A 19,914-nucleotide genomic window follows, 5' to 3' on the forward strand; every position below is an offset into this window, starting at 1 on the left:
ATAATGAAAGACAGAATGGGAAATAAAAGAAAGAGAGGTGTCTGAAGGAAGAAAGGAAGAAAGCAAAGTGCTGGAGAGATGACATATTAGGGTATGAGGAACACTTGGACCACTGGACTGTCAGAGGGAACCATGGTCAAAAGCAGAGGTGTTGCCAAAAACAGGATGCATGATCACTTTTGTCACCACTGCCATCATCAGCACCATCAGAGAAGCTAACCTTTCCTGAGGCCTAACTACTTTGCAGGTCCTGTATTATGTCCTCTATAGACATTAGGTCATGTAATTTCCATTTTACAGATGAGGAACTAGGGTGCATGCAGTTAAACAATTCACCCGGAGTCGAGCTTAGAAGGTGTGTAAGTGGCAGCATGTAGATTCAGTCCTGTAAGCCTGACCCCAGAGCCTATGTTCTTACCACTGCATTGCACAGTCTACTTCCAAGTGCATTAAAGGGAGAACTGGAATTCCATTATGTAATATAGAAAGGATATTACACAGAAGTGCCACACCAGAACATTTGGAGGAAAAGGAAAAGACAAAAACCAACCAATATCACTTTGGATATTTGGCTGCACAGGGGCCAAACAACGAGAGGACTGATTTTTTTTTTCAAAGCACATCCAGACATTCAGATATCATCATGTTTTCTTTCTCTCACTCTCTCTCAGGTTTTTTTTTTTTTACTCTCATGTTAACTATCCTTCTTATTTCATAAATTATATACCAGGCTTGTCCAATGTGTGACACTTGCTTATAAAGTAAACATAAGATCTTTTTTAATGTTTAAAAAGCATTTTCAACCCAAACACCACGACTACTGTATTTACAATAAGCCTCACTTGGGTTTCCACAACGGCCAGTTCTTTCTGGGGGGATGGAGATCCTCAGAACAGCTTCCTAAGGCAGATTCTGAAAACATGAATCATGCTCAGTTAAATAATTTGTGGCTCAGGACATACCTTCATTAAATAATAGCATTCATCCACATCCTAACTGCTGATTTTTATGTTTAAAATCTGATACAAATAGTAAATTATCATATTTGTGGAGAGAAGGAGGAGAAACCCAGGTCTGGAAAAGCAGCCCAGGATGTGAAAAACATTGCACACTGGATTTGCTGGAAATGGCCGAAAAGGGTTCCGCTGGAATGCTACCAGTTCGGACTGGGAAGTTTCTGAAGGCAAAGTTTGTGTGGGGCAATCTGACACCTCTGATTTACTTTCTTGGGTCTGTAGCAGAATAAAGAACTGCTGCAGACCGGCCAGGATAAAACGGAACGACTGCACACTGCTCGTAAATTTCTCTATTTACCTGGTGAATGGTGAGGGTAGGGCTTTGGGCTCCTCGGTCCAGAAGAGCTGCAAGGCAGAGCGTTCAAATCGTGGCTGGCCCTGGGCTGCCGCCCTCACGCTGCTTCGGCTGCTTCTAAGATCCCATTGGAAGTCCCAAAGGGCTGGAGAGCCCCAAGGCCAATATTACGTTTCCAAAAGAATATTCCTCCCCGACCCGCACTCCCCTTTGCTTGCGTTGACTTCGGAACGTCTCGGGTTTCTTCCACCTCTGCGCGAAGCCGCTGGGAACCCAGGAGTTGCGCTGGCAGAGAGGGGCGGCCCCAGAAACCACTTCCAGATGTGCTCGGCTGGCCGGCTCGGATGCGCCAGACTTCCTCTGGCTAAGTGCAAAACATGCAAAAAACAACGCTGTTCTGGAGGAAAAGACACAAAACCAGAGAAGAGCAAATGCTTTCAGGGTGAATTTCTACCACACGTTGAGTCGAAGGCAAACTTTGAAAGAACACCAGTGAAAAATAAAGTTCATGCTGATTTTGAGAATCTTCATGGCCACTAGCTTCTCCTGAAATCTCCTAGTCATTGAAATGCTGTTGTCCCCAAATCAAAACCCAGGTAACAACTGTGGTCTTCTTCTACCAAGGCAATAATGACAAAAGTTTCAGGATGGAGTGTTTTTGTGCCTGAACAAAAGAGGAATCAGAGAGGAATGAGGCAGGGAGCTGGGAGCTGACCTCAACAGCAATCTGCGCTGTTCTGTATCTCTGCGGTGTGTTCTCAAACCCGGGAGATGGTGCCAGCACTTTGTCTGGGATCACAGAATTTATTTCTGCAATGGCTCCTCTTCCTATTTCCTATAAGGATATAAGGATCTCCCTGCTCACTGTCTCTTTCTAAAGTGGTGCTCTCCAACAGAAATAAAATGCAAGCCACCCTGTAATTTTACTTTTTTTTTTTTTTGAGACGGAGTCTCCCTCTGTCTCCCAGGCTAGAGTGCAGTGATGAGATCTCGGCTCACTGCAACCTCCGCCTCCCCGGTTCAAATGATTCTCCTGCCTCAGCCTCCCGAGTAGCTGGGATTACAGGCGCCCACCACTACACCCAGCTAATTTTTGTATTTTTAGTAGAGATGGGGTTTCGCCATGTTGGCCAGGCTGGTCTCAAACACCTGACCTCAGGTGATCCGCCGCCTCAGCCTCCCAAAGTGCTGGGATTACAGGCGTGAGCCACCTCATCCGGCCAATTTTACTTTTTTTTTTTTTTAAAGAGACAGGGTCTTGCTCTGTTACTCAGGCTGGAGTGCAGTGGCGTGATCACAGCTCACTGCAGCCGTGAACTTCAAGGTTCAGGCGATCCTCCCGTCTCAGCCTCCTGAGTAGCTGAGATTACAGGTGCACATCACTACACCTGGCTATAATTTAAAATTTTCTAGTAGCCACATTAAGAAAAAAGTACAAAGAGGTAAAATTTATCTTAATGATATATTTTACTTTACCCAATATATACAAGATGTTATCATTTCAACACATAATATAAAACATTATTAAGAAGATGTTTTATGTTCTTTGTTTTGTCTTTAAATTTAATTTGTTTTGATACATATTCATGTAATAATTGTACATATTCATGGGGTACATATTGATGTTTCAATATACAATGTATAGTGATCAGAACACTGTAATTAGCATATCTATAATCTCAAATATTGATGCTTATGTTGGAAACATTCAATATCCTCCTTCTAGCTCTTTGAAGCTATATATTATTGTTAACTATGGCCATACTACACTAGAACCTATTCCTCCTATCTAGCTATAATTTTATATCCTTTAACAAATCTCTCCCTATCTCTCCCTTCCTCCTGCCCTTCCCAGTGTTTTTTTTTTAACTAAGTCTTTGAAATTTGGTGTGTGTTGTACACTTGGAGCACATCTCAATTCAAACACTAAATTTAAGCAGAAACACTTCACATATATTTAGATTTTATAAATACCATTTAAAAAGTAGATTCATTTAAGGTAATGGATATCCCAGTTACACTGATTTGATCTTTACAAATTATATGAATGTATTAATATTAAATGTTTGAATACACACTCAAAATATGTATATCTATTATGTTATCAATAAAAAAATAGAAAAAAACACTGGGAACAAAAGTAAATTCACGAGTCCAGGTTGGTCCAAATGTACTTAAAAGTTTTCCAGTAATTGAATAGAGTATCAGTTTTTCAATTAAAATTAGTTACAGTTAAATAAAATTAAAAATTCAGTTCCTCAGTTGCACTAGTCACATTTAAGTACTCAGTAGTCAATGTGGCTAGTGGCTACTATATTGAGCAGTTCCATTCTAAAGGATTTAGTAGGGGTTTTCTTAGATATGAACTTTGAAGGTGGGAGGATCCTGAATATCTTCCATGTATATAGAACTTTGAATATAGCCAAAGCATTTTCATATCTTCTATTTCTTTTTAGCCACACAACATTTCTGGTAGGTAAGTTGAACAGATGTTATTTGCCCCAATTTACAGATGAGCAAACTGAGGCTTTGAGCAAATTAAAGCCCAAGTTCCCAAAGCAAGTTAGCGATGAAGCCAGGATTGGAATTCTTATTCAGCACTTCTTAAGTGTTTCCTTCTTGAGGCATATTTCAAATACTAGGATCTGCGGCTGCAACAGTAGCGTTAAGTGGCATGGCATCCACATTGGTCATCCTTCAGCATCAAATTTGCTGCCTGTGTAGAATTATTGACTGCCCTGTGTTCCCTTATATGCCCCTATTCTAAATCCCTCACACAATCCAGCAGGTGTGTCCTTTCTCCTGGAGAGGCTTGACATGATGCCCCTCCTCTTCTCTCTTTACCCCCAGCATCTTGTACCTTATTTTATGTATTAATTATTATTATTATTATGTAGAGACGTGTCTTGCTATGTTGCCCAGGCTGGACTTGAATTCCTGGGCCTTTCTCCTCAGCCTCCCGAGTAGCTGGGACTGTAGTCATGCACCACCATGCTCAGCAAGTTGTACCTTATTTTAAAGCACAATTCCATTCAAACATTTAGCTAAATGTTTTTAGCTAAAACGTTGGTCACCTCTGGGAAGTCATAAGGTTCAGGGGCAGCACAATATCCTATGCTCTAAATACTCACTGCACACACATGAGCGAAAATAAGAACCACTTCTGGCTCAGGGTTTCCCACCGCCCTTCCAGAATTATGTGCTGTTAACTTGCAGCAGGCTAGTCCCTCAGACATGTCCCAGGCATCATGTGGACAGCAGCCTGAGCTGACACCTGCCCAGTGCAATTTCCTTCACAGATCATGTCATCTCCTTTGAATCTCTCATCCACCTAGCAGAATGTTATAGATCTTCTCCCTGACCCCCACTGTCTGATTCCAGCTTCTTTCTCCTTTATTCCTGCTGTGCCATGCTCCAAGGATGCGATAGGCTTGTTATGTATGACTTAGATGTCCACACTGTATGCACAGATTTTCCCTGGGGAAGAAATGAGAAAAGAAACAGAGGATATGCATGACACCAGAGTGGCCTTTGGAGACAGACATACCTAGTGTGAGCACAGGTCTTACCTCCAGTTTCCTCATCTGTTAAGTGGGGACTACTAATAGGACTCTTGTGTGGGTTAAAAGACATCATGCATGTAAGGCACTCAATAAGGACTCAAGAAATGGAAGTTATTATTGCTGTTGTTTTTAAACAAAAGTAATATTTAGCCGGGCGCGGTGGCTCACACCTGTAATCCCAGCACTTTGGGAGGCCAAGGTGGGTGGATCACGAGGTCAGGAGATCAAGACCATCCTGGCTAACACAGTGAAACCCTGTCTCTACTAAAAATATAAAAAATTAGCTGGGCACAGTGGCAGGCGCCTGTAGTCCCAACTACTCGGGAGGCTGAGGCAGGAGAATGGCTTGAACCCGGGAGGCGGAGTTTGCAGTGAGCTGAGATTGCGCCACTGCACTCCAGCCTGGGCAACAGAGCAAGACTCCGTCTCAAAAAAAAAAAGTAATATTTAATTGAAATTGAACTATAACATGTAATTGATTTTATTGAATAATATATAATTGAATATTTAATTTTAAATTTAAATATTTAACTGAGAAAGACTGAATACATTCAAGATGTACGGTGTTGACTTGATATGCATGTACACTGTGTAATGATTACCAAAATCAAATTAATTAACACATCCAACACCACCCATTTTCTACACTAGATCCCCAGAATTTGCTCATCTGATAACTGAAAGTTTATACTGTTTGACTAACATCTCCCCATTTTCCCCATCCCCTCACCCTAGCAACCACCATTCCACCTACTCCCTGCTTCTATGAGTTTGACTTTCTTAGATTACAAATATAAGTAAAATTGTATGTATTTGTTTTTCTGTATCTGGCTTATTTCACTTAGCATAATGCCCTCAAGTTTCATCCACGTTGTCAAAAATAGCAGGATTTCCTTTATATGGCTGAATAATATTCTATTGCATATATGTACCACAATATATTTATCCATTCACCCATCAATGGATACTTAAGTTGATTCCATATCTTGACTATGATAAATAATGCTGCAATGAACATGGGGAGGCAGATATCCAAAGGAAATAAAATCAGTATTTCAAAGAGATATCTGCCTCCCCATTGAAATACTGATTTTATTTCCTTTGGATACCTGCCTCCCCATGTTCATTGCTCTGCTTCCTCCCTTCTAATAGAAACACGATTTCATATGGACAGCAAAATGCCTATTTGAAAAGATTCTCCTCCTTGGATGTCCTGCAGCTAGAGTGGCACGTGAGCAGACATCTGCTGTCTAGTACTTCCTTGAAAGCTAGTGTTTTCCTGGCAAAGAGCTCTTTGGTGTCTTTTGCCCTTTCTTCCTGTTTAAAATCCAACCTTGAAGCTTGCGTGTGAAGTAGCCACCTTGCAGCCATGGGGATAAGAGGCCTGCACTGTGCTGCTGCATATGGCCACACTGGTTGTGCACAGTGACTATAGAGTTGAATCAGTCAGGGTCCTGGCAGGATACAGACAGCTCCCTCCAATAGGGTAATGGTGGAGACTTTTTAAAAAGGCACTAATTGAAAAGGTGTAATCACTGTCAGGGAAACATGGTTAAGAGATGATGCAGTACCCTGGGGCTAGCAATAGCAGGGAGTTATTACCACCCCAAACTCTGAAGGGCAACAAGAGAGAGTGGTTTCCAGGACCTGGAGAGAGGATATGGAGAGGGTGGCCAGCAAGAGCGGCCCTCCCACTGGGATACAGCCAACCTGTGGTGCTCTGCACAAAAGGGACGAGGGGCTGATTACCCCAGCCTCACAGTCTCCTGTTGGTAGTGTCTCCCATTGACCAAATCCAACTAGAAGTCAGAGGGCAAGAAGCTCAAGTGCTATAATCCATTCAGGTCAGCCTCTCAGGACACTGAACAGGTTGAAGGGTGGAGAGTAGATCTGTAGAAGTAAATGGAAAATATCCTTGCATTATATGAATGGGGTCCCTGGCACTCTGTCATTCTGCAGCCTGGCATATGCTAAAGATGGCAGAGAATCACCACAGCAGCCCTGAACTAACTACTCATGGAAAATCTTGCTATGTGAGGAAAATAAACCCTTAAGTGGTCAACTAAGTTTGGTTAGATTTAGTTACATGCCTGAGTGCAACCCCATGCAATATGTATGCATTTCACATGCATTTTATATTTGTGGTATCACTTGTCAACAAAACATGTATCTTAGTCTCTATTATTCCATGTTTATTTCTTACTAGTTGAAGGTCAGATGTTCATCATTTCTTCTTGCTAACTGGGTCTGCCTTTACTGAGTATATAACTTTTAGATAAGGTCCTAGATAAAATCTATTAAAGCTGATAAGTTTGCCTGGGAGGAAAGGAATAAGTCTTCTGTAGTAGTACATGAATTACCACATTGGGTCAGGCTGACAAGCCTCTTTGCCACGTTTGTCTCCCATGGCTGGGCTCCAAGATCACACATATGGGGCAGGAATTACCATAGCAGCCTCAATTCCCTCTCTTTTGCCTGGTGTGGTTCAGTTGCAGGTCATCTTCCTGTTGCCCTGAGCTTCGGTGCTCTTGCTTTCCCCTGCTACTCCCTGAACTGCAGCAATTGCTCCAGCACCTGAGTCTCACACTTGAGTTCCCTCTCTCCCGCATGCGGTAACTGTTTTTCTTCCTTGGCCCAGTTCCCTGTTCTGGCAATTAAGTTAGGTTCTATCTAGCCTGGAGCCCTGCCTTGCTCTTGCCAGCTGCCCTCTCTATGCTTTGGACATAGCTTCAGCCAAGATCCATGGCTGGAGCCCTGCAATCTGTAAACAGACCTCTCAGACACCATCTGTTTCCCTCACCTTGGCAACAGTCCCTGCCCAGGATCTCTGCTATCGAGTTCTGCCCACTTGCTAGCACTCCCCAGAACCTCTTCTCAGACCTCTGGCAATAAGCCTTTGGCCCTTGGCCTGAGTCCTCAATTGAGATTAAAGACATTGCAATTTACACTCTTGGCTGAAAACACAGGACTGTCTGCCACCTCCAGCACCAGATTCTCACTCTAGGGTTGACTTTTTGGCCTGCAGCTCAGGAGGAGGAATAGAAAGTGTAGAAATATAATAAAATCATGATAATGATAGAAATAAAACAATCTACTACTTATTAAATGCTAACTACATGTCAGACATTGCGTAAGTATAGCACAGTCCTTGCTTGGCATGGTAACAGCACAGATTTCAATTAGCACCGTTTAGTTATATAACACAAGTCCCCCAATAATACAGTTCAAATTTCAGTTACCACAGTATATTCACTGTAAGTAATTGCATAAATACAAGCTTTGCTGCCAGGTTTTCAGTCCACAAAATTACTATGTAAATAACAGATGCACGCCATGGTCAGTGACCACAGCACATCACTTCATTTCTAGTCTGCTGGTGACTGGTCACTGGACATCTGTTATTTAGTTATGCACAGACAGCAAAGCATGTAGTTGTGTTGCCTCTTTATCTCCAAGTAACATTGTAAAAAATGGACGATAGAATTTGCCAATAAAGATAAAAGTGAAGCAAAGAAACAAAAAGTGATTATTGTGGCAGTGAAGTTCAAATCAAAGATCACTGGAGTTACAGAAGAAATTGGTGGCCATGGGAATGTTGACATTGCCACTGTTCAACTCCAGATGGGCATCCAGAGAGACTTAGTAAAGGTAAACTTATGAACACAAATAAGGAAGGAAGTTGTAAGGAAAAGGATAAAGATGTTCCAGAAAGTGACATGGGCAAAAAATTCACATTAAAGGAATGCTGAAAGATATCTCACAACATTGAAAGCACAAAGGAAAACTTAGAAAGGAGGCTGGGCATGGTGGCTCACACCTGTAATCCCAGCACTTTGGAAGGCTGAGGCTTGAGCTCAGGAGTTCAAGACCAGCCTGAGCAACATAGGGAGACCCCGTCTCTACAAAAAATAAAAAAGTTAGCCAGGTGTGGTGTTATGTACCTATGGTCCCAACTACTCAGAAGGCTGAGGTGGGAGGATCGCTTTAGCCTGGGAGGTCAAGGTTGTGGTGAGCTGTGATCATGCCACTGTACTTCAGCTCAGGTGACAAAGACCCTGTCTCAAAAAAAAAAAAGCAAAACACATTAATTCTCAATATTTCTGTTTTAAATTATGGCATAATAAAGAAATATTAGGTTTACAATTTTTTCATTTCTCTATATATTTATATCCAACAGTAAGAAAGTTTTTAATATTTTGACAAAAGTTTTTAAACATCACAAAACAATTGTAATTTTTCCCACTGATAATTGAGATCACTTTGAAGGGTGTTGGCTTGCATATCATGTTTACAGAACAGTGTTATCATGCAAAGTGAAGACTGCCTGTACTTTACATGTATTATTTCATTTACCTATTTCTTTCTTTCTTTTTTTCCCCCCTTGCTAGGTCACTGCCCCATTTTCAGCACTAGATGGTGCTGAAACCCACGTTTGCCTCCATTCTAATAAATAATCAGTGCCCCTCATCCTTAATGGGGGATATCCCAGTAGTTTGGGAAGGCTAGCTAGGGGTTCAGTGTCCAAGGGACCTATGGACCCAACCTCCTACAGTGTGGTGCTGCTGAACAGCCACTATGATTTGGTGTCTCCATCTCTTTTTGTCAAGTTACACAGCAGAGTTTCCAGAGCTGGGATGGTAGTCTCACCTCTCCCCTTTGTCTCTGGCTGTTCTCAGGGATATTTCTCCTCTAGGGACTGCTGATGCTTCTAGTGGTTGAGGCTGGGACAAGTCTCCTGCAAGGGAACCCAAGATTGTGGAGAAGCTGGTTGTCTATGCCTTGATCTCACTTTTTACAGTGTACAGACTGTGAGTTGGGGGAAATTTTCATGCAGTTGGTGCCTGGCAGATTGTGGGGAGGGGATTACAGATATGGAAGTCTGATTCTCTTACCATCTGCTCAGAGTTTTTTAAACTTCTCTGTGGCCCCAGCAAATGTCTCATCCTCATATTTGAGTTCTCGGATATTGCTGGTGATAATTTCAGTGTTGAATATTAGTTTTGGGTTTTCCATTGGGGGGTGTGAAGCCAGATTGCTTCCTTGCTGCCACTTTGGAACCATATTATCTCATTTAATCCTTTGACTAACCCTAAGAAGCAGATGCTCTTATTATTCCCATTTTATAGACAAAGAATCTGAGGTTCAAAGAGGATAAATAATTTGACCAAGGCCATACAACTAGTTAAGTAGCTACAACCTATTGGGTCTTAAAGCCCTTGATCTTAACCCCAAATGAAACAGTCCAGGTAAATGACTCTGGTGGGTGTTTGATACGGAGGAGTGGGCAGAGAGGAGAGGAAGTAGTGAGAGATGAAAGTACCTTCTCTAACATATGCCTAAAAAGTCTAGAGCAGCACTGTCCAATAGAGCTTTCTATAACACAACAGATGCTCCCTTACCCAAGGGGGATACATTCAAAGACCCCCAGAGATGCCTAAAACCACGGATAGCACCAAATCCTATATACCTCTAACTAAGACAGCTACTCAATTACGAATGGGCAGGTGGCACATACAGTGTGGAAACACTGGACAAAGGATGATTCACATCCCAGGCAGGTAAGAGCGGGACAGCGCAAGACTTCATCATGTGACTCAGGATGTTACACAATTTAAAACTTACAAATTGCTTATTTCTGGAATTTTCCATTTAATATTCTCAGACTGCATTGACTGTGGGTAAGTGAAACCATGGCTAAAGAGGGATTCCTGTACATGTATAGAATACATAATATTTATATAATCTATAATAGAGAATTAATGTATCTATTCAACCCTGGTATACATGTAGGTATACATGGACTTCAGGATCCATCTTTTCTTGATCCTCCAGGACTTTGATCCACCAAATCCCAGCTCTTTCTGAACAGATCTACTTGCCCTATGGGATGTAATTTCCAGTGGAGCTGCTCTACTTCACTAAGTACTCAGGAAATTAGGCTTCTTCCAGCTCATGGTCCAAGATGGCTGCTCCAGTTCTAGCCATTACATCTACATTCCAGACAGCAGGAAAGAGTAAGAGAAAGGAAGCTTCCCTCCTCTAGAACACATTCTGGAATTATATATATTACTTTTGCTTACAACCCATAGGTCAATATTTAGCCACAGGCCACAACAAGTTGAGGGAAGCTTGGGAAATTAGTTTTTATTTAGAATGGTCATGTGCCCAGCTCAGAGTCCAGATTCTGTTACTGAAAAGAAAAGGAGAGCAGATCTTGAAGGAGAGTGGGTACAGTAGTCTGGGAAAGTTCTTATTTGTTTGTATTTTGTTTGTTTGTTTTTTTCCTTCCCAGCCTCAATAATGAGAGGCAGGCAAGGAGAAGGTTGGAAATGATTGCTGGTTGTGCTCTTCCGACCTTTTGTTTGCAACTGGATCCTTCTTCTGGGCCCACAAGTCTCACCATCCAAAATAATAACAATTTACACAGTACCTCTCTCTCCTTGCCAGCCATTGTTCTTTCTTTCCTTACATGGCCAAGTCTCTGTAAAGAATAGACTACACATGTTATCCGCATTTTCTAACTCATGCTTCAGTTCTCTCTGGCTTCTTTCCCTCCCACTCCATTGAAAACATTTTAATTCTAGGCCACTACTAACCTCCTAATTTGCAAATCCAACAGTTGCTTCTTCGTCCTCTTCTTCCCTGACCTCTCTGTGGCTTTTGGCTTTCCTTACCACTTCTGCCTCTATGAAACCCTCTTTGCCTGTGGCTTCTTTGACATCACCCTCACCCAGTTCCCTTTTAACTTCTCTGGCTACCTATTCTCTATTTCCTTCATGAGTGCCTCCTCTTGTCTTTACCCCATCAATGCTGGCTTCTTCAGGGTGCTATTTTCCATCCCTCTTCTCCAAACTCTCCTCCTAGGTTGTTGTTTCCAAACTACATTCTTGAAGTTTCAGAGATTGAAGGTACTTTACTGTGAAATGGGGACCTATTTTAGATGCCTCCCTCAAGGACAGATTACTCAAAACTGCTCTACTAAAACATCTTTCCCATTGGATTATGTACTTTGTCATAGATTGAATTGTATCTCCCCCAAAAGACATGCTGAAGCCTTAACCCGCTGTACCTATGAATATGACTTTATTTGGATATGGGATCCTTGCTGATATAATCAAGTTAAGATGAGATCACAGGATGAGCCCTAATCCAATATAACTAGTGAATTTATAATAAGAGGAGAAGAGGCTGGGCGCAGTGGCTCACATCTGTAATCCCAGCACTTTGGGAGGCTGATGCAGGAGGATTGCTTGAGCTCAGGAGTTCAAGACCAGCATGGGAAACATGGTAAAACCTCATCTCTAGAAAAAATTTAAAAACTAGCCAGGCATGGTAGTGCACACCTATAATCTCAGCTACTCCAAAAGCTGAGGTGGGAGGATCACTTAAGCCTGGGAGGTGGAGGCTGCAGCAAGCTGAGATCGCACCATTGCACTCCAACCTGGATGACAGAGCCAGACCTTGTCTCAAAAAGAAAAAAAAAAAAGAAGAGACAGACACACAGGGAGAACACCACGTGATGATGTGATGGAGTCAGAGACTGGAGTGATTCATTGACAAGTCAAGGGCTGCCATGGATTGACAGCTGCCACCAGAAGCTAGAAAGAGGCATGGAAGCATTCTTTCCTACAGGTTTTGCAGGGATCACAGCCCTACTGACACTTTGATTTCAGACTTATATATCCTTCAGAACTGTGAAACAAAACATTCCTATTGTTTCACAGCAGCCCTAGGAAACTAGTACACATTTCCTCATCACCCTGCAGCTCCCTATCTAAGCCACCAGTTATAGCTTGCAATCTCTTTTGTCTTAAAAATATTTTGCCTTAATTTTTCTCCTAGTTCAAGGGTACTTGGGCTTTCAAATATCATAGACTAGTTTTTTTAAATTTGAAGTTCAACATTAGGGTTGGAACGTTTGATTTTTTCCTTTAACCTTGTGCTATAAGGGCATTAGAAAAAAACTACCATCTAGGCACAAAACTCTCAGAACAAAGTACAGTTCTTTAAATTAAACACTTTGGGTTTTATGAAAAACTCACTGCTTTATTCCAACTCTTCCAGTTTTATTTCAAATCCATAAAAACTTTATTATGGCAACATTTAAGAGCCTCCTATGTTATGTATGTGACATAGAAAAATATTAATAGATAAATATTCATAACCTCTTTTCTGTTCGCAGACATCTTATTTCTCCCTCCCTTTCCAAATTCTCTTTGGACATATTATGAAATTGGGCTGGCCAGGCGCAGTGGTTCATGCCTGTAACCCCAGAACCTTAGGAGACCAAGGTGGGCAGATCACCTGAGGTTGGGAGTTCAAGACTAGCCTGACCAACATGGAGAAACCTCATCCCTACTAAAAATACAGAATTAGCCAGGCGTGGTGGTGCATGCCTGTAATCCCAGCTACTCAGGAGGCTGAGGCAGGAGAATTGCTTGAACCTAGGAGGTGGAGGTTGCAGTGAGCCAATATCGGCGCCATTACACCCCAGCCTGGGCAACAAGAGCAAAACTCCATCTCAAAAAAAAAAAAAAAAATGGGTTAATACTCAGTGAGAGGGAGAATTTAAGAAGCAGAAGCTAAAAAAAATAGTGAGAATTCCTTTTGGGGTTTTTGTTTGTTTGTTTGTTTTTTAGACTGAGTTTTGTTCTTGTTGCCCAGGCTGGAGTGCAATGGCACCATCTTGGCTCACTGCAACCTCTGCCTCCCAGGTTCAAGTGATTCTCCTACCTCAGCCTCCCAAGTAGCTGGGATTACAGGCATGCACCACCACGCCCGGCTAATTTTTGTATTTTTGGTAGAGATGGGTTTCACCATGTTGGCCAGGCTGGTCTCGAACTCCTGACCTCAGGTAATCTGCCCTCCTCGGCCTCTCAAAGTGCTGGGATTACAGGTGTGAGCCACCGCACCCGTCCTGAGAATTCCTTTTTAAAACATAGAGAGTTATCTCTCAAAAAAAGCTTAGATAGATGAGAAGGTGGAGAAGCATGCTGAGGTTTAAGGGAGTTGGGTGAATGAGGCATATAAGAGAAATTGAAAATGGTAAAATAAGAGGAAAAAAGAGTTTTAGGAAATTTACTATACAGTGTCTGTGTTCTCCTTTGAGTACCTCTTGAGAATCTGAGGTAGGGATTTAAATTGCTTTCAATTTTTTCTTCCACTGGACTTGTATCTCTTATTTATCTCTCTTTAATAAAAATAGAGATGGGATCTCACCATCTTGACCGAGCTGGTCTCAAACTCCTGGGATCAGTGGATCCTTCTGTCTCAGCCTCCAAAAGTGCTGGGATTACAGGTGTGAGTCACCATGCCCAGTCCTTTTTCAATTAAAATTTTAAAAAATAACTTGTATTGTGGATATTTAAGATATACAATATGAAGTTGATATCATATAGACCAGGGGTCCCCAGTCCCCAGCAACCAGTCCTCGGCCTGTTCGGAACCCCCATGACCTTCCTGAGCTCTGCCTCCTGTCAGATCAACCGCGCATTAGATTCTCATAGGAGCTCGAACCCTACTGTGAACTGCCCATAGGAGGGATCTAAATTGTGTACTCCCTATGAGAATCTTATGCCTGATGATCTGAGGTGGAACAGTTTCATGCCAAAACCATAGCCCCCATCCCCTTGCCAAGTCCATACCACCCACTCCCCTGCCAAGTCCGTGGAAAAATTGTCTTCCATGAAACCGGTCCCTAGTGCCAAAAAGGTTGGGGACAGCTGAAACAGGCAGTCACAAGGTTACTATAGTGAAGCATATTAACATATCCATCATCTCATATAGTTACCACCAACCCTTTTTGTGTCTCTGTGGCAAGAGTGGCTAAAATCTACTCATTTGGCATGAATCCCATATGCAGTGCAGTTTTATTCCTAATGGACTTGTGTGATTATGTGTAGGACCAAATCACAGGGCAGCTAGGCCTTATTAAGTGTTGCATTGGCTGGGTGCGGTGGCTCATGCCTGTAGTTCCAGCACTTTGGGAGGCCAAGGCAGGAGGATCACTGGAGCCCAGGAGCTCGAGCTTGCAGTGAGCTCTGATCGCGCCACTGCATTCCGGCAACAGAGCCAGACCCTATCTAAAATAAATAAATAAAAATAAAGAGTTGCGTATGACTGCTACCAGAGGCAGTATGGTATAATGGTTGGATATGACTGCTATCAGAGGCAGTATGGTATATGATATAAGGGCTTGGGGGTTCTGGAATCAGAAGCCCTGTGTTGGAATCCTGGCCCCAGTCTTTTTTTTCAACACCTCTCCTTTGTGTCCATCAGAAAATTACCTTACTGCACTGTGCCTCATTTCCCCGTCCATGAAAGGGAGATAACAGGAGCCACCACACTGGATTGCTGGATGGATTACATGAGTTAATACACATGAGGCACTTAGGGCATGCCAGGCTGTGGACAGCCCTCACTTGTTAGCTAGCAATGAAACAGAAACCTAGAAAACCATCTCTCCTCTGCTTAAGCCAAACAAACCAAAAATACCTCTTGTGGCTCACGGTTCCCAAGCTTCCTGGCATGGCTCCGCACAAAGCTGCCTTCGGTTCGCCCGGCAGGCTTTGTAGCGACCTTCCCTGCCCGGGTCCCAGTCACGGTCGGGAGCAGCCGCCGTGGCCCGGGCTCGCGAGGCAGGCTCCCGCCCGCACCCTCCCGTGCGAGGTCCCCGCCCTGCGCTCCCAGCTCTTCGAACCTCTACCCGAGCTTCTCTCACGTTGCTTGTGAGACTGCCTCGCCCACACATCCTAGATGCTCAATTAAAGTGGACGTAAAGGAAGATGCTGTGGCTTCTTCCCAAAATACCGAACGGGAGGCTCTGGGTGGGGATGGGAGACGTGGTCAGTGGGAAGCGTCCTTCCACCCTAAGGTGCGTTGCTCCGGGTGGCCGCTGGCCAAGTCGCCTGGGGTGGGGGCGGGGCTCCCCTGTCAGGACCCCCCTTCCCCAGCGTCTCTCCACTGCCCGCGGGCCTCCAGCCTGGCCGCCGGCGCCCGCGGCCACGTGACCCCAGCACAGCTGGAGGCGGGTCCCCGCCCTCCCCAGGGAGCAGCCGGTTGAGGCGGGAGCGGTGCATTGTGGGCAGAGGGGCGGGGGTTGGGAAGATGGCGGCTCCCAGCCTCCTCAACTGGAGGCGAGTTTCTTCCTTCACGGGGCCGGTCCCCCGCGCCCGGCACGGACACCGAGCGGTGGCCATCCGGGAGCTGATGATCATCTTTGGAGGGGGAAATGAGGGCATCGCGGATGAGCTGCACGTCTACAACACGGGTAGGCGCGGCGGCGGCTCGTCGGCCCCGCCTGCTGGAGCTGCGGAGGGGGAGGGGAGGCGAGGCGGCGGCCGCGGCCCTGACAGCTGTCACCGCCCGGTCACTGCTTCCTTGGGCGGGCGGCGGGGAGCGCGGCTCAGCCGGGCAGCCCGGGTCCGGCAGCTCTGTCCCGGACCGCAGCTCAGGATCTCCGGGGCCCTTGGGGCGCAACGGACCCCGAGCGGGGCGCACCGGCCTTCAGGCGGGGGATCCCGGACGCCCCCACCCCAGCCCGACAGGCGGACGCAGGCGACAGAAGACCATGTCCAACCGCCTGGGCCACTCCCCGAAATCTCGCCTCTGTCAAAAAACAAAACCCACTCCAAACCAAAGTTCCTTAGGGCCTTTCCCGTCTTTGCCTGCCTTCCTTCCTTAGGAGGAAGACCATCTAGGGGGTGAGGAGGGAAAACGAGAGGCCTTCTGGCACTCTCGCCTCAAATACAACCCGGTGTTTGGCAGGTAACGGTCAAGAGCCCCTCCGTGAGCCGCGCTCTAAAGCGGCGGGGACGTGGTGAGGCGGCCTTGTGTCTGCATACTCGGTGTGGACGCCCTTCTGGACTGGCCCTCGGAAAGAGGACTGTCATAACTTGAGCACCACTGCAGATCACAAGTGCCCCTGGGCAGGGAGCCCCTATCTTTGAGGACCTCTGTGGAATAGAAAGGAAACTGGATTTAATTTTTTTTTCCCCTTGTAAATGCTCAGGCTGTCACAAGAAATCTGTTTGGTGTAAAGACAGTGATGGAATTTTGGGTCTACTTCATGACCGATAACTTTTCTTTGATCAAACAACTTAATCACAGGAATAATTTGAAGGTTAACAAAATAGTGGAGTCTGAGAAGTTTTATTTTTTTCACCCTCTCCTCCTCCCAGCGCCCCAGCATATGAAGGTAAAAAGTTACTGACACTTTGGTCTTAGTGTAAAATCCCTGGCTTTGGAACAAATTAGACCTGATTTGAATCTTGCTCTGCCGGTTGCCCAGGATCAGCGCTAAAGTTACCAAACCTTTTTAAGCCTCACAATTTTCAGTTGTAAAATAGAGATTTTTATACTCACCCAGCAGGGCGTTTTGTAAGAATTAAATGATACAGATCAGGGTTTTTCAACAGCAGCACTCTCGACCTTTTGGGCCAGGTAATTCTTTGTTGAGGTTGGGGGAAGCTGCCCTGTATTGCCCTGTACATTGTAAGATGTTTGGCAGCATCCCTGCCTCTACCTACTAGATGCCAGTAACAGCCCCCTCCAGTTGTGACAACTAAAAATGTCACCAGACATTACCAAATGTCTTCTGGGGGGCAGAATCATCCCCAGTTGAGACCCACTGATATTGATGATATATATTTGCTGATAGTATATGATAACCGTTGTTTGTTATAATCGGTTTTCATTTTATTTTGGCAACTAGCTACGAATCAGTGGTTTCTGCCAGCTGTTAGAGGAGATATCCCTCCAGGCTGTGCTGCCCATGGATTTGTCTGTGATGGTACCAGAATATTAGTATTTGGGGGAATGGTTGAATATGGAAGATACAGCAATGAGTTATATGAGTTACAAGTAAGTGTATTTAATATTGTTTCATTCTGAGGCTTTAATAATGATATTGTTCATAATTTTTCAAAAGATTGCAACATTACTAACATTGTTTAACACATTTTAATATTATTCAAGTAATGTATTATTCAAGTAAACTATTATTCAAGTAATATTATTCAAGTAATGTAAACTTCACATTTTATAGCTTTATAGAAAATGTTTCCACTTCACTTAAAACCCAAAGTTTCCTGGCAAGTCTTTTTCCCATACCCAGTGCAACATTTATAACATCAAGATATCTGTTACGTAGCATCAGTTGTACATGTTATATATTTAGGTTTTTGTATCTTAATGCAGTAGAAACTTTAGCCTGCAACAGGAGCGCCTGGAGAACCTGTGAAAACACAGATTGCTGGGTCCTACCCAGAGAGTTTCTGAGTCAGAGGAAGGCCATGAGCATTTGCATTTCTACCAGGTTCCCAGCTGCTGATGCTCCTGGTTTGTTTGTTTAGAGACAGAGTCTTGCTCTGTCACCCAGGCTGGACTGCAGCCGCGCAATCTCGGCTCACTGCAACCTCCGTCTCCTGGGTTCAAGCAATTCTCCTGCCTCAGCCTCCTGAGTAGCTGTGACTACAGGCACGCGCCACCATGCCCAGCTAATTTTTGTATTTTTAGTAGAGACGGGTTTTCACCATGTTGGCCAGGCTGGTCTTGAACTCCTGACCTCAGGTGATCCACCCACCTGGGCCTCCCAAAGTGCTGGGATTAGCCGACGTGAGCCACCGTGCTGTGCCGCAAATTCTTAAGTATTAAGTACTGCAGGACTCACAGAGGGATAGTTGGCATTGGTATCAACTGACATATTCACAACTTTGAATAAAACTTTCCACATTTGGAAAATCACCATGCCTGGCCCCTAGGCTATACTTTGAAAACCACTGCTTTAGTGTTTTAGAAATTGTTACCCTCATACTAATATTTACTACACCCCCCACCTTGACAATACATACAAAAGAGGAGTAACAGTTTCCCATAACCTTTCTAAATTTGAGTCTTATTAAACCAGACTCATAGCCCTTGTTGACTTTTCTTCCTGATCTGTGCCTTATCCCTAGGGCGGTGATCATGCGGGTATCTGCTAATTGGCAGATGTGAGTGGTTATACCTATTTACAAGCAACTCATTGCAAAAATAATTTTAGCTAAAGAAAACATCCATGGCCAGAGAATAAGTTTTGGAATTTGATATGTTAAATGAGCTTTATGTTTACCTTTAAAAGGTTAAAATATTTACCATTCATGGATTACCTTTTTTCAGAAAGTAAGAATATATAAATTACATTTAATCTTGAAGCTATGTATAATACTTTATTTTTCATTTGGAAACTACTTTAGAACAGTTAGTGTTTATTATTATATGCTGAGTTTGCCATGGAAATCTGTGAATATGGAAGAGTAACTTGAATGTCTACTGGAACATATATTTTAATTCCAGAAGTTAGCTGGTTATTTGTCATTTGTCCCAAAAGTAGTTTTTTAGTGCCTTCTGATGGGATTTAGATTAAAATGTATTGATATGATGTTGCACTATTGACAATATAGGAGTGCTTTCTTGATTTTGTCTGACTGTATTTGTGCCCTTTTTTTTTTTAGGCAAGTCGTTGGTTATGGAAAAAAGTGAAACCCCATCCCCCTCCTTCTGGTTTACCTCCTTGTCCTCGGCTTGGACATAGCTTCTCTTTATATGGTAACAAATGCTATTTGTTTGGTGGCCTGGCAAACGAAAGCGAAGATTCAAACAATAATGTTCCCAGGTATGCTGACTCTTTCAGACCAAATGCTTATTTTATGATTTAGAGTAGGAACATTTTATTTTTTCCATCTTTAATTTTTAAAAGGGATGATGCTTAGCTTTTTGCATTTCAACCTAACAGTGGACAGATTTGTGTGTGTTTGTGTTTTCCTTAGTACCTGGAGCATACTTGTTTTCAAAACTGTGTCTTTTCTTCAGAAAGCATTGGAGCTAAAAACAAAAAAACTGTGTCTTTCTAATGAGAAATCATCTTATTAAATTAATATTAATGTAACTGCTTGTATCAATATATTTGTATATATTGAGCCATAATGCATTTTAGCTGCCTCATAAATGATAATGAAAAGTAACAGATGGTTATTTTAAAATTAGATTTCTCTGGGAATTT

The 19,914-nt window shown here is 43.5% G+C and overlaps 2 protein-coding genes across 25 annotated transcripts in view, besides 6 other annotated features; one reads left to right on the top strand and one right to left on the bottom strand.

Annotated features, from left to right (window-relative positions):
• Positions 1–15,857, bottom strand: part of GLT8D2 (glycosyltransferase 8 domain containing 2) — a 75,451-nt gene extending 59,594 nt beyond the window's left edge. For 2 of the 21 annotated variants that reach the window (NM_001316967.2, NM_031302.5), the window contains exons 1-2: positions 15,369–15,857; positions 1,315–1,708 (exon numbers count right to left, since the gene is read on the bottom strand). The gene's annotated coding sequence lies outside the window, so the exon portion shown is untranslated. Of the gene's footprint in view, positions 1–842; positions 913–1,314; positions 4,789–15,160 lie in introns of those variants that run through there. The other 19 variants (NM_001384716.1, NM_001384715.1, XM_047429631.1 and 16 more) reach the window with 16 other exon arrangements.
• Positions 13,985–14,154: an enhancer, noted in NCBI's record as "experimental_23714 CRE fragment used in MPRA reporter constructs". NCBI's record gives its function as "activates a minimal promoter by MPRAs in K562 erythroleukemia cells, with activity observed for the non-introgressed 12:104456428 or rs4340124 variant allele {active_cell/tissue: K562}" and the evidence as "EXISTENCE:reporter gene assay evidence [ECO:0000049][PMID:34662402]".
• Position 14,070: a transcriptional cis regulatory region, noted in NCBI's record as "Neanderthal adaptively introgressed variant 12:104456428 (GRCh37/hg19 assembly coordinates) or rs4340124 in the experimental_23714 CRE". NCBI's record gives its function as "modulates activity of the experimental_23714 enhancer by MPRAs in K562 erythroleukemia cells {active_cell/tissue: K562}" and the evidence as "EXISTENCE:reporter gene assay evidence [ECO:0000049][PMID:34662402]".
• Positions 15,478–15,637: a silencer, noted in NCBI's record as "silent region_4784". NCBI's record gives its function as "represses an Ori minimal core promoter by ATAC-STARR-seq in GM12878 lymphoblastoid cells {active_cell/tissue: GM12878}" and the evidence as "EXISTENCE:reporter gene assay evidence [ECO:0000049][PMID:35858748]".
• Positions 15,647–15,816: a silencer, noted in NCBI's record as "fragment chr12:104458005-104458174 (GRCh37/hg19 assembly coordinates)". NCBI's record gives its function as "represses an EF-1alpha promoter that drives an FKBP-Casp9 reporter gene in an ReSE screen in HepG2 liver carcinoma cells {active_cell/tissue: HepG2}" and the evidence as "EXISTENCE:reporter gene assay evidence [ECO:0000049][PMID:32094911]".
• Positions 15,798–15,967: a silencer, noted in NCBI's record as "silent region_4785". NCBI's record gives its function as "represses an Ori minimal core promoter by ATAC-STARR-seq in GM12878 lymphoblastoid cells {active_cell/tissue: GM12878}" and the evidence as "EXISTENCE:reporter gene assay evidence [ECO:0000049][PMID:35858748]".
• Positions 15,951–19,914, top strand: part of HCFC2 (host cell factor C2) — a 41,994-nt gene continuing 38,030 nt past the window's right edge. For all 4 annotated transcript variants that reach the window (NM_013320.3, XM_047428753.1, XM_017019242.3 and 1 more), the window contains exons 1-3: positions 15,951–16,143; positions 17,587–17,735; positions 19,367–19,527. In NM_013320.3, coding sequence (NP_037452.1) covers positions 15,981–16,143; positions 17,587–17,735; positions 19,367–19,527 — 473 coding nt within the window. In that variant the 5' untranslated portion in view covers positions 15,951–15,980. The remainder of the gene's footprint in view (positions 16,144–17,586; positions 17,736–19,366; positions 19,528–19,914) is intronic.
• Positions 16,188–16,327: a silencer, noted in NCBI's record as "silent region_4786". NCBI's record gives its function as "represses an Ori minimal core promoter by ATAC-STARR-seq in GM12878 lymphoblastoid cells {active_cell/tissue: GM12878}" and the evidence as "EXISTENCE:reporter gene assay evidence [ECO:0000049][PMID:35858748]".

The sequence above is a fragment of the Homo sapiens genome, chromosome 12, assembly GCF_000001405.40.
Source record: "Homo sapiens chromosome 12, GRCh38.p14 Primary Assembly".
Classification (NCBI taxonomy): Eukaryota; Metazoa; Chordata; class Mammalia; order Primates; family Hominidae; genus Homo; species Homo sapiens.